This window comes from Homo sapiens, chromosome 7 (genome assembly GCF_000001405.40).
Source record: "Homo sapiens chromosome 7, GRCh38.p14 Primary Assembly".
Taxonomy (NCBI): Eukaryota; Metazoa; Chordata; class Mammalia; order Primates; family Hominidae; genus Homo; species Homo sapiens.
The window spans coordinates 105,626,053-105,640,161 of NC_000007.14; the positions used below are offsets into that span (position 1 = coordinate 105,626,053).

A 14,109-nucleotide genomic window follows, 5' to 3' on the forward strand; every position below is an offset into this window, starting at 1 on the left:
TTTCAGGTCTCAAATACTTGAACTTAAAACAGAGTCCAAAAGTATAGTCACTTAAAAACAAAACCACAAACGTGAAAACAACCCAACTGTCCATCAACAGATGACAAGATAAAATATGGTATATCCATTCAGTGGAATATTATGCAAGCCTTAAAAATGAATGAAATTCTGCTACTATATGAATGACACTTGAAAGCATCACACTAAATGAAATAAGCCAGACACAAAGGACAAATATTGGATGATTCCACTTACATGAGATACCTAGACAGAAAGTAGAACAAGAGTTATCAGGAGTTGGAAGGAGCGGGGAATAGGGAGGGGGTATTTAGTGGATATACAGTTCTGGAGATGGATGACAGTATGACTACACAACATTGTGAATGTATTTAATGCCACTAAACTAGACACTTAAAAATAGTAAATTTTGTGTTATGTATATTTTACTATAAAAACAAAACAAGGCCACATGTAGTTTTTCAGTGTCATAAGAATTATGTTGGGATGACAATTTATAGTGGACTATCACCTTCCTGTACTATAAAAACAAAGCTGCCATTCATTCTGCGTGTCTACAGGCCAAAGAACGCATCTCTCCCGACGTTCCTCAATACCTGTTCTTCTGTATCAGGAAGAGCAACAACACTATTGTCTGCTTACCGCTGAAGACCCAAATAATAAAACAATTTAGATGAGGCTGAAACATAAAAAAAAGAAAAAAAACCAGTATCCATAACTCTGCCACCCAAGATCAAGTGTTATTAGCATTTTTATTTACATCCTTCCAGACGTTGTTACTGGGCACACACATGCAAATGCATTTTAAAGCAAGAACTGGATCACACGATCACCCGGAACATGAAATGTGGGTAGTACATACTATTTTGAGAGATGCTTTTTAAAAAACCTAGTGATGTTGTGGACGTGTTTCCATATATAGAACTATATCATTTTAAATATTCCCCAGTAATCCATAGTATGAATATATCACAATTTACTTAACAAATCTTCTGTTGATGAAGATTTGTTTCCAAACTTTCTAACAGGCTCTCTCTCTATGAAGCCCTCTCCATCATGATAGGACCTCCTTATCCTGCAGGAGATAGATTAAAAAGGAGCTGGATTTTACTAAGTGTGATAACAGCATCATGGTTATATAGAAAATTGCCTTTCTTTTTCTGTATTTATTTTTAATTTTTAGAGATAGGATCTTGCTCTGTCACCCAGGCTGGAGTGCAGTGGCATGATCATGGCTCACTGCAGCCACAAACTCCAGGGCTCAGGGGATCCACCCACCTCAACCTTGTGAGTAGCTGGGCTTATAGGCATGTGTCACAGTATCTGGCTAATTTTAAAATTTTTTATAGAGACAGGGTCTTGCTTATGTTGCCCAGACTGGTCTCAAACTTGTGGCCTCAAATGATGCTACTTGCTCGGCCTCCCAAACTGTTGGGATTGCAGGTGTGAGCCACTGTGCTAGGCCTTTTTTTTTTTTTTTAGAAAGAGTCTTGCTCTGTTGCCCAGGCTGGAGTGCAGTGGTGCGACCTCGGCTCACTGCAACCTCCACCTCCCAGGTTTGAGCAATTCTCCTGCCTTAGCATCCCGAGTAGCTGGGACTACAGGTGTGCGCCAACATGCCCAGCTAATTTTTGTATTTTAAGTAGAGACGGGGTTTCACCATGTTGGCCAGGCTGGTCTCGAACTCCTGACCTTAGGTGATCTGCCCTCCTCCACCTTCCAAAGTGGTGGGATTACAGGCATGAGCCACCACGCCCGGTCCTGTCTTTAGTTTTTTTTTTTTTTTTTTTTTGAGATGGAGTCTTGCTCTGTCACCCAGGCTGGAGTGCAGTGGCACAATCTTGGCTCACTGCAACGTCTGCCACCCGGGTTCAAGCGATTCTCCTGCCTCAGCCTCCTGAGTAGCTGGGATTACAGGTGTGTGCCACCATGCCCGGCTAATTTTTGTATTTTTAGTAGAGACGGGGTTTCAGCATCTTGGCCAGGCTGGTCTTGAACTCTTGACCTCGTGATCCACCCGTCTCGGCCTCCCAAAGTGTTGGGATTACAGGTGTGAGCCACTGTGCCCGGCCTGTCTTTACTTTTAAAAGATGCATTTGGAAGGCGTCTGAGGTGAAATGCCATGGTACTTGCAATTTACATCAAAACATATCATCAAAAAATGTAGATGAAGCAAATATAATTGCAAAATATTAATAAGTAACTGTTAAAGCAAGACCTGTAGGTGTTCAATATACTATTCTCTCTACTTTTCTATACATGGGAAAAATTTCATAATGAAAAATAGGAAAAACAAAAACAAGAAGAAAATAGAGTTAGTAGTACAGGTATATGTAAGAAAGTTATTAAAGAACTTCCTATTTTTTGGTATTTTATTTTTCTTCGGTTTTACTGAGGTATAACATCTTACACTTATAATACATAAATAAAATTGTGTGGCCGGGCGCAGTGGCTCACGTTTGTAATCCCAGCACTTTGGGAGGCCGAGGCAGTTGGATCACGAGGTCAGGAGATCGAGACCATCCTGGCTAACACAGTGAAACCCCGTCTCTACTAAAAATACAAAAAAAAAATTAGCCGGGCATGGTGGCGGGCACCTGTAGTCCCAGCTACTCGGGAGGCTGAGGCAGGAGAATGGCGTGAACCCGGGAGGCAGAGTTTGCAGTGAGCCGAGATCGCGCCACTGTACTCCAGCCGGGGCCACAGAGCGAGACTCCATCTCAAATAAATAAATAAATAAATAAATAAATAAATAAATAAATAAATAAAATTGTGTATATTTAAGGTATACAATGTGATTTGGTATATGTGTACACTGTAAAATGATTACCACAAGTTAGCTAACATATGTCACCTCACAGTTACCGGGTTTTTTTTTTTTCCCATGGTGAGAACACTTTTTATTTTTATTTTTTAGAGACACGGTCTCTCTCTGCCTCCCAAGCTGGAGTGCAGTGGAGCAATCACTCACTGTATTCACAGGAACTCCTGGGCCCACAGGATCTTCCCAGCTCAGCCTCCCTAGTAGCTGGGACTACAGGCATGAGCCACTGAGCCCAGTGAAATTTGCTTAAGATCTACTTATTTAGCAAATTTCAAGTACATAATACAGTATTATTAACTAGAGTCACCATGCTGGAGATTAGATCCCTTGAATGTATTCATCTTGTAACTGAAAGTTGTCTAGTATCTCCCCATTTCTCCCAACCCTTAGCCTCAAACAACTGGCACTCTACTCTCTCTGTGAATTTGGCTTTTTTAGATTCCACCTGTAACTGAAATCATACAGTAGTTGTCATTCTCTGTCTGATTTCACTTAGCATAATGCTCTCAAGTTCATCCATGTTGTTGAAGATGGCAGGATGTCCTTCTTCTTTTATTGTTAAATAATATATATAATTATATATTATTTTTTATATATATGTATTATTATTATTATTGTTACTTATTTATTTTTTTTTTGGAGATGGAGTCTCCCTCTGTCACCCAGGCTGGAGTGCAGTGGCGTGATCTTGGCTCAGTGCAACCTCCGCCTTCTGGGTTCAAGTGATTCTCCTGCCTCAGCCTCCTGCGTAGCTGGGACTACAGGCACCTGCCACCACGCCCGGCTAATTTTTTTGTATTTTTAGTAGAGATGGGATTAAGCCATGTTAACCAGGCTGGTCTCAAACTCCTGATCTCAAGTGAACCACCCACCTCAGCCTCCCAAAGTGCTGGGATTACAGGTGTAGGCCTCCGTGCCCGGTCTTATTATTATTTTTTTTTGAGACACAGTCTCACTCCTTCACCCAGGCTGGAGTACAGTGGTGTAGTCTTGGCTCACTGCAACCTCCACCTCCTGGGTTCAAGTGATTCTCCTGCCTCAGCCTCCCAAGTAGCTGGGATTACAGGCATGCACCACCACACCTGGCTAATTTTTTTATTTTTAGTAGAGAGGGGGTTTCACCATGTTGGCCAGGCTAGTCTTGAACTCTTGACTTCAAGTGATCCGCCCACCTCAGCCTCCCAAAGTTCTGGGATTACAGGTGTGAGCCACTGCACCAGGCTGAAATATTATATATATATATCTGCATTCATCCCTCAATGAACACTTAGGTTGTTTCCATATCTTGGCCATAATGCTGCCATGAGCATGGAAATGTGAAGAACTTCCTGTTAAACAGGGCAGATGGATCACACATATTTCTCTCTTCTCTCTTCCAAAATCTTACTAAAATAACAGTAAAGAGATAAAAAAGGCATTAGCTTTAAAGAACAATGAGATCAGCAGAAATGTGGTGATACTTACGACGATGACTTCCTAACATCCATTTAACTCCTAAACCAATAATAGGAATCTCTCATTTTGCTTGCTAATGATTGGTTTAGAAAAGGACATGAGAAATTTTTTAAAAAATATTTTTTGGCGTAGAGGGCTTTTGGAATGCTTTTCCTCACTTTTAAAAAGAGGCATCCAGTCTGGGCAACATGGTGAAGCCCCATCTCTACAAAAAATACAGAAATTAGCCAGGCATGGTGACAGGCACCTATAGTCCCAGCTACTCGGGAGGCTAAGGTGGGAGGATTGCTTGAGCCTGGGAAGCAGAGGTTGCACTGAGATCATGCCACTGCACTCTAGCCTGGGGGACAGAGTGAGACCCTGTCTCAAAAAATAAATAAATAAATAAATAAATAAATAAAAGAGACACAAGGCTCTGGTGGGGGATGTTGATAGTGGCGGAGGGAGGCTATGCATGTGTGGGCAGGAGGTATATAGGAAACGTGTACCTTCTGCTCAATTTTGCTGGGAAACTAAAACTCCTCTAAACATGAAGTTCATTAAGAAAAACAAAAACAAAAACAAAAGAGACACACAGGAAAGGTGGTCTTCAGCTTCATCTGGACCTTGTTATATCTGCATGTGCCTGGAATTGCTACAGTCATTTTGCTATAGGACTTTGAGGATGAAGCCAAAAGACTGAAGAGGGTGGAATAAAAGAAGGGCTGTGAAGGCGAGTCAATCTCTGATGGTTGGGGGCTGGTGCTCCTCCACCTCTGGACCTCATGTAGCATGCGGTAGTTTCCTAATTATTTAAATGTATGGTAATGTATGTTTTCTGCTACTTGCTCCTGAAGCATCCTAACTGATACAAGCATATGAGATTTTAACATTAAGAAAACAGGATGTGGCTGGAGAAGTATTAACTAACGGGAAAGGAACTGACCTACTATAGAACCTCCAAGAAGCTGGCCACCTCTAGGACATTCCTAGAGCTGCAAAAGTCATAGGTGAGGTGAGGACTAAATACAGCTCAAGAGTTAAAGGTCTTAATACATGGCAAGTGGACCTAAAGGTCATGTCTACCACCTTACACAACCAGATGATGAGTTATCACCATTTCTGCCAGGACACCCTCTTCTGTACCCCAGTAAACTTTCTGGAGTCTCGCTTTGTTGCCCAGGCTAGAGTGCAGCGGTGCCATCTCGGCTCATTGCAATCTTTGCCTCCTGGGTTCAAGCAATTCTCCTGCCTCAGCCTACTGAGTAGCTGGGATCACAGGTGTGTGCCACCACACCCAGCTAATTTTTGTATTTTTAGTAGAAGCAGGGTTTCACCATGTTGGCCAGGCTGGTCTCGAATTCCTGGCCTCAAGTGATCTGCCTCCCTGGGCCTTCCAAAGTGCTAGGATTACAGGCATGAGCCATTGCACCTGGCCAATGACAATAAACTTGCTAACAAGAGAGCAAAGGTTTACTTGCCAGAGAAGTTGAACTGGAGAGATTCTAGACACGGGGCCATCAGGCTCAGCGCAGAGTAGGAGTGAGGCACAGGGCTGGACACAGTGGAACTGCGGGCCATTTCTAGTCAGGGCTTCCAGATTGCCTATTGCCAGGCACATCACCAATCAGGTTTCTATCTTTGAGAAACTGAATGGCCCCAGAGAAGGCTTCCAGATCTTGCCTTTGGGAATCCTCAAACAAAAGGCTGAGTGGTGATCAGACAAATTTTGGTCGACAACCTCACACACAGACTTCCAATTAGGCTGTTAGAGCCTCTCTTCCAAATGTGCATGGTTAGGGATGGCCCAACACTGCTGGAGCATCCCCAGTGTGAGACTGCCCAACCAAACATCAAAGACATGAACAGAGGAAGGAAACAAACCTGGAAAAAACTAAGACGATGATGGAAAGAGAAAAAACTAAAAAACTTATCTTCAAAGATATTAGGATGTTATTACCTCTGAAAAACGATAGTATCTTGTGGTAAACAACCAGATAAAGAGAACCAGATCCTAAAAAATAGGAAAGCATCATAAATGATTTAAAATACCATTTTTGAAGATACAGTCAAAGAAAATATTTCAGAAAGTAGAACAAGGAGAGTAAGAGACAAAAAGAGGTAAGAGAGCTAAAGGTCCAACATCCAATTAATAAAAAGTCAAGAAAGAAAGAATAAAGACAATAGTGGGGAGAAAATTATCCAAGATGTAACACAGGAAAACATCCCAGAAGAGGATAAGTATCTCCAGATTGAATGAGCTACTGAGTACCCAGTATGATGAATGAAAATGAGCTACATCAAGAGTGATCAGCTGAGTGCAGTGGTTCACATCTGTAATCCCAGCACTTTGGGAGGCTGAGGGCAGGTTGCTTGAGCCCAGATGTTCAAGATCAGCCTGGGCAACACAGCAAGACCCTGCCTCTGTAAAAAAATAAAAAAATTAGCCAGGGGCAGTGGCTTGCACCTGTAGTCCCAGGTACTTGGGAGACTGAGGTGGGAGGATCATTTGAACCCAGGAGTTTGAAGCTGAGATAAGCTATGATTGTACCACTGCACTCCAGCCTGGGTTACAGAATGTAATCTTGTCTTTAAAAAAAAAAAAAAAAAAAAAAAAAAAGAAGAAGAGTGACTATTGTGTGAACTTTCAGAGTCCCCAGTCTTCAGAGAAAAAAAACTGGACGTGTGCAAAGAAATGATAATCAGAAAAATATTAAACTTCTTGATAAAATTTTCAATGTTACAAGTCAATGAAAAAATGTCTTCAAAATTCTGTAGGGAAATGATTTTCAATCCAGTTATATACTCAAATAGATTATCAATTTAAGTGTGAGAGTAGAATAAAAATATTTTCAAGTGTGCAAGGATTCTAAATATTGACCTCCCACAAATCTTTTCACAGGAAGCTAATGAAAGAGGTACTTCATCAAAATTTAAAGGCACAAACTAAGAAGGAGGCAGTCACTTGGATCCAGGAAACAGGCGCTTGAACACAGAAAGAGCAAAGACATGTTCCAGGATGACAGGAACTGTTTTCATTCTAATTATTTAAGCACAGTTTAATTTTTGAACTATGTGCCTATCTTACTCTGATTTTTAAAAATGCAGGCTGGGTGCGGTGGCTCACGCCTGTAATCCTAGCACTTTGGGAGGCTGAGGTGGGTGGATCACCTGAGGTCAGGAGTTTGAGACCAGCCTGGCCAACACGGTGAAACCCCCATCTCTACTAAAAATACAAAAATTAGCCAGCCTATGGTGGTGGGCGCTTGTAATCCCAGCTACTCGGGAGGCTGAGGCAGGAAAATCGCTTGAATCCGTGAGGTGGAGGTTGCCATGAGCCGAGATCAAGACACTGCTCTCCAGCCTGGGTGACAGGGGGGAGACTCTGTCTCAAAACAACAATAACAACAAAAAAAGCAGTGTAATTAAGAAGAAAAGTGGCTGAAACACTCTATAATAAGTTCCAGTTGCCAGATAAAAGAGAGGAGGAGATGAGTGGAAGATTCCTGGGGAGTATGCTGAGTGTGGAAGCTGTGCTCTAGCCCACAAAACTGGCTGTGGGAGCAAAGGGAGAAACAGGGACACATGACGGTGTGCTCGTGTGTGCACACACACCAGGAGGAGGGAGTTCCGCATCATTTCCTTTTTGGGCTCATTTCCCTCAGGGTGCATGCAGCCTCCTGGAGGTGATATAGTGGTGGATGCTTTCAGGACCTTTTAGCTCTGATTGCTGCACTCCAGGGTGATACCTGGTGGGAAGGAGTTCACTGGAACCAGCTTGGGTCTCGGAAAAGCTGAGGAGTGATAGGGAATGGGGCAATGAGCCACAGGAAGGTGTTGACACAGTCACGCAAGTTTGTTTAGTTGCCGTTCACTGTTTCCCCCTCCGTACTACATCACCCGTCCCCTGTCTGCCCGCCAGTCTGGTCTAACGTCAAAGCATAGGATGATGGGTCTTGTCCAGTTCAACTCAGGGAAATGCAGAGAAAATCCCACCTTACCACTTTGAGGAAGCAGAGCATCAGTTTGTCTGAGCGCATTAGGGAAGAGAGCAGAAGGCAATTGACCTTGATTCAGTCCTTACCATTTGACCTTAATTCAGTCCTTACTATGTGCCAGGCATGAAAGTACATTTCTTATTCCAGCCACCTTAGGTGAGTAAACTAGTATCTGCCTTTCTTAGATGAGAATTTTTTTTTCCCTTTTGGTGGAAAATGGGGTCTCGCTATGTTGCCAAGGCTGCTGTTGAATTCCTGGGCTCAAGCTACTTTCCCACTTCTGCCTTCCTAAATATTGGGATTACATACGTGAGCCACTGCGCCTGGCCTCAGATGAAAAAAACTATTATAAAGCTAATAAGAAATGGAGGGGTTTTGTGCCTGTCTGTACAACCTCAAAGCCCCCCAGACTGAGAAACAGATGTAGAAACAGCACAGGGACAAATATATAAGAAATCAGGGAGAGAATAAGGCGGGGTGCAGCAGCTCATGCCTGTAATCCCAGCATTTGGAGAGGCCAAGGCAAGAGGATTGCTTGAGCCCAGGAGTTCAAGACCAGCCTGGGCAACATAGTGAGACTCTGTCTCTACAGGAAAAAAAAAAAAAGAGAATTGGCTTGCAGTGTGGCAATATCACTATCCTAATGACATACAGAACGGAACAGAAGTTGCTTTTACCCCAGACTCATCCCTGCCCTTTGTCAGGAATCTAAGACCTTCTGCCTGTCTCCACACTGCCCTCGTCAGTCTAAGATTAGCTAAGTTTGCCCTTTTATACTTTAGACTGCATGTGTAAGCATCTATGAGACAGAGGGGACTGTGCCCAGATTTTGTGGCACCAGCTTCCTGCGGGCTCTCAGCCTGGCTTGTCAGATCCCAGCCCTCTTTGCCCTTTCCAACAGTCCTGGTGGGTTTGGCTGGGCTAGTCATCCACAACCCTCGGGCTTTTTGGAGCAAGCAATGTGTTCCTTTAGAGTTGGAGGCGAATAAACTGAACATATGAGTGTGTTATTCCAGGCCCCTCGGGCTGGGGGCAGAAGCACGGAGGGCAGGCATATGGAAACCAGGCAGTGTCAAGGCCGGCATTCACTGCCTTTGCCTTCCTGTGGAGTGCCCCTCCCACTCACTAACAGCTACCATCCATGGACTGCTTCTTATGTGCTTGGTACTTTCTCACTTCACTCTGATTAGCTCTGTTGTACAGATGAGCAATCTGAGGTGAGACAGGCTAAGAACCATGACCAAGCTTACCTAGTTGGTAGGCACGGAGTTGAGATTTCCACTTCAAATCCCATTCCAACCCTTGTTATCTAACTTTAACTTTTCTAATTCTAGACTCAAGTTCCTTTTTTAGCAATCCCTGACAAGAATGGGTTGCAATGTAAGAATATGAGAACTAAAATATTTTCAAGGTTAACGAAAAGATACGTATGAAATAAATTCACACACGTTAGCATTTCCCACAAAGGGAATTCACAAGTGGGAGGGGATGACAATAAATTCCATTCATGTGCGATAGTTTTTTTTTTTTTTTGCCAAGTACAGATAATCTGTGTAGATGAAACATCTATTATATATACATCAATATGAGTAAAGCAACGTTTTTGTAAGTTTTGTGTGATTACAATATTCAACTCTGATCATGCCTATTCAATCTTTAATTGCAGGGGATCTTGTCCTAAACTAAGTGCAGGACATTTTCCTGATTAACTTTGGAAAAGAGCTCACCCCTGAGTTTTCTGGTGCCTATCTCAATCTTGAAAAGCATCCTCAAAGATGACTCTGTGGGCCGGGTATGGTGGCTCATGCCTGTAATGTCAGCACTTTGGGAGGCCGAGGTGGGCGAATCACCTGAGGTTAGGAGTTTGAGACCAACTTGGCCAACATGGTGAAACCCCATCTGTACTAAAAATACAAAAATTAGCCAGGCATGGCGGCACACGCCTGTAATCCCAGCTACTTGGGAGGCTGAGGCAGGAGAATTGGTGGAACCCGGGAGGCGGAGGTTGCAGTGAGCCGAGATCGCGCCATTGCACTCCAGCCTGGGCCACGGAATGAAACTCTGTCTCAAAAAAAAAAAAAAAAAAGATTCTGTTACCAACCTGTGTAATGTGTTCCTCTGCCCCCCCCACCCCCACTTCTTTTCCAGAAACATTCTTTTCTCTGATTAACCTCACCCATCCTTTCCTGCTTCCTTAACAGAACACAAACAGCTGGCATTTCTCTATAGATGAACATTCCCCTGAAAATTAAACCCAAAAGGAACAGTCGGAGCAGATCCTTCAGGCTCCACTGTTTTATTCTTTAATGGCTGCTCCCTTCTTTCTCTGTTAGGCCAGGTACCACTGCTTGGTGAGAAGTGCCTCCATCAGTCAAAAATAGATGGAGATTTGTATAGTCAAAGAAGGCTTTCAAACTGGGTTCCCTGGAGTCCTTGGGGAACCCAAGGATATCCTTGAGAGGGTGTGGGGGACAATGGCTCTGGGTACATGTGTGAGCTTAGCCGGCTTCAGGTGGAGGCAAGTCTACTTTCCTATCAGGTACCCATAATAAGGTTGTGCTGGAATGAAAATGTTCGATAGCTACAAAGAAGTTTAAAAGTCGCTGTATATACAATTGAAGCCCCTTCCAGAAGTTTGGAACGGAATTGTTGCCTCAACTCTAAAACAAGGGTAATATCCCTAACCAACACCCCACATGACAGTGAGAAGTCATTATAAAATGATCTTGCAAAGTGAGGGGTGGCCAGGAAAGTAGCATGTCAACGGTGACAGTAACGCCACGATGGTGAGCATGATGGAAGTGTTGGGGATGGCAATTCCATCTGACCGCGTCCTCCTGAATGCCTGAGGCTGAGCTCGGCCATAATGACAGAGGGACTCTGGCTGTCAAACTAGGTCAGGCTTGCACCAACATGGAAGGCATCAGGGTGAGAGCCTGGCAGATCAGGAGCCACTGCTATCAAATATTTGTTTTTGCTTTAAAAATCAACTCCCTCCCCTTCTTTTACGACTATGTCCTCTTAAAGCCTATTTGCTACCCGTTGAGATTCACACTGTATGCATAAAAAACATCAGATAATACCGTTATCTGCACTTCTCACTGAGTATTATTAATGTTTCCTTTTTATAAAAATTATGGATACTTGTACCTCATTCTTTTAAACTCTAAATTCCTGAAAAGCGGGGTCTAGCTTCATTAATCTCTGTACCCCTGCCTGAGAGTACCTAACATGGAATCTTGCTTATGGAGCGAGCACTCAATAAATATTTTTGAATAAGTGGTTCTCTGTCGCATTATTTGGGAATTGAGCTTCTGCCCATCAAAATGGACATGCATGGATTTTAAATTACTTTTAATCCAAATGAGTGTTAATTCTGTTTTCTATTTTTTCATTTCTGTCCAGGACAACCACATAGAACCCCAAACAGGTGGCCCAGAAGAGTAGCTTTCCTGGTGTGGAGAGACATGTAAGGACAAACAACCTCTGCTATGCCAATTTCCCCTTTCATCCTGATGATAGGAGAGCGTGCAAAACAAATATCGTGGCAACTGGACTAGCATGGTGCAGTGAGCGTCTAAGAGGTGCTAACGACCTATTCACCTGGGTTTCCCTACTCCGCTCCAGGAATCGTCAACTAATATAAAAGCCCAGGCAGCCAGGAAGTCACCTGGCGGCTGATGTGTCACAGTTTCAGGTATTTATTTCCAGCTTACTCTTGCTGTGTAAAAACACACACTGTCTGATATAAGATCTGCTTGTCTGCCATGAAGTCCGCTGCTGCTGACAATGATGATGACAGTGATGATAATAATGATGACAGCAGTAAAATCTGTTGAACACTATGTGGCAAGCACTGGGCTGGGCCTCTTATGTACATTATCTCATTTAAACTTTACTACTTGCCTTAGGAAGTAGTACTATTATGATTTCCATTTAACATATAATCAGACCACATGCCACAGACCCAGCAAGCTAGTCACTTGACCAAGCATTCAGGGCTTCTATCGTCAAGGTGGTACTTACCTAGGAAGTACAGAGTTGGGTGGTCTGGATTTTGCAGGGGATGCAACTTTTGGTTCTGGCCCAGAGCTCCCTGAAGACCCTAGCAGAGAATCCTGTGCCGGCCCGGATTGGCTTGGAAGTATTTCCCTCGTGGAAGTCAGGAGATGCTCTTTATCTTTAACTTCTTTTTCCCGGGACTTTGCTTTGTGTTCTGCCAGGAGGAGGTCAAATTGCTTTTTCCGGCCTGGGACTGCCCTCCGATGGCTTAGCGAATGTGTCTAAGGAGAAGAGAAATGAAAAGCACAGCCTCTTTGATCAGCACATAAACCTGCTTCCCCAGGCCCTCCATTTCAGAAATAGCAATTCATGGAAATTTAGAGGTGCTTGAAAAGTCAACTTCAAGGCAACAGCTCCTGTTCTGTGGCTAGGAAGAGGCAGAGACCACACGAACGCAACCATGCCCTACACTCCTGGTGTTAAGAAGCCAAAGCTTCCTCCAAAAAATGGCATAGGATGACGAGCTTCAGCGCAGAACCCATGAAAACCTCTCTGATGAAAGGCAACTGCGAGGGAATGCTAGAGTTAATCCAGGTGCAGGTGGGAGGCTCGATTCGGCCCAGACAAACAGAGCCACCAAGCAGAGAGGGCCATCGCCTTGATCCCAAGAAGCACTAGCAGTTCAGCATGAAATACAGGGCTTTGGGCGACCCAATGGCGGCCGCCTTGGGTCAGCTGTTCCCCTGGCCACCCCGGTGTGGCTGGATCAGGGGCGCGGCATATCATCCTCCCCTCCAGGGCTGCCTTTCAGGGCGCTGCCGCCGCCGCCGCCGCCGCTGCCGCTGCTCCTGCATACATTAAAACGTAGCAGGCTTTAGAACCGCCTGTGAGTGCCTATAAATACAATTTACTGTCTGGCCTCACAAGTAACAGGGGAAGCCTAGTTTTTTTTTTTTTTTTTTTCTCCTTCTTAAAAAGCCAGCCAGCTTGAGGCAGGCACTCTGCTACCATGGACGAGAAGAAAGCATTTCCCTTACAAAGAACAGCTGGGGGTCATGTCGAGGTTCCACACCCTGCCGTGTGCAGAGAGTGGCATGCAAACATTTCGACAAAGGCCCCAGCGAGAGCAGGAAGTATTTTTTATGGAAAGAGAAATACCTTGCAGGTGAGGGATCTTGTGCAAGGTTTCTTTGTCTCGGGATCCAATACTCCACAGTGTTTATTTGGGTCAAATTCTCTCTCTGGTTTAAGAAACAAACAAAAAATATAAGAAAAAAGGAGACTAAATAGGATTTGGCATTAAGACTACATTTTTTAAAAAATGCACATTTGCACCAACAAGTGAGACATTGTCAGGCAATCTGTTTTTTGTTTTTTTGTGTTTTGTTTTCTCAACCAGCTGCTAAAAGTCTTCCAGAACCGCTCGGGGAAAATGGTGCTCCCCTCTGAACCCAGAGTTCCCAAGTCTAGCTTCGGCAGCACCGCCGAACGCAGCACAAGGCTCGGGGAATAGGGCGGGAGCAGGCACCGAAGGGAAGGAGAGGAGCCGTGCTGCTCTTAATGCTCTTAACGCTTTATTTTACTTGCAATGGTTCCACAGGTCCTTGGCATTTGGGCATAGCTGGCTGCAGACCAGGGAGAGCCACCTGAGACCCAACGACCCCTTTCCTGGGCTGCTCCAAGAGTACAGACACCCTGACTCCAGCTCCTGCCTTCCTGCTAGTTTTAGCCATGTAAATGGGAGATTACTCCTTGACATGTCAGAGTGACCTGCCTCTCTCATGCTTGACAAAGCTCTCGGCGCAGGCTTTGCACACAGCCTTGCTGACCACA

At 44.1% G+C, this 14,109-nt stretch overlaps 1 protein-coding gene across 4 annotated transcripts in view, besides 1 other annotated feature; it reads right to left on the minus strand.

Annotated features, from left to right (window-relative positions):
* Window positions 1–14,109, minus strand: part of ATXN7L1 (ataxin 7 like 1) — a 271,828-nt gene that overhangs the window by 21,281 nt on the left and 236,438 nt on the right. For all 4 annotated transcript variants that reach the window (NM_020725.2, NM_001385596.1, NM_138495.2 and 1 more), the window contains 2 exons: window positions 13,435–13,517; window positions 12,301–12,557 (listed from right to left, as the gene is read on the minus strand). In NM_020725.2, the coding sequence (NP_065776.1) occupies window positions 12,301–12,557; window positions 13,435–13,517 (340 nt within the window). The remainder of the gene's footprint in view (window positions 1–12,300; window positions 12,558–13,434; window positions 13,518–14,109) is intronic.
* Window positions 12,804–13,465: an enhancer, noted in NCBI's record as "NANOG-H3K27ac-H3K4me1 hESC enhancer chr7:105279303-105279964 (GRCh37/hg19 assembly coordinates)". NCBI's record gives its function as "activates a minimal SCP1, AML or CMV promoter by ChIP-STARR-seq in naive H9 embryonic stem cells {active_cell/tissue: H9 hESC(naive)}" and the evidence as "EXISTENCE:reporter gene assay evidence [ECO:0000049][PMID:30033119]".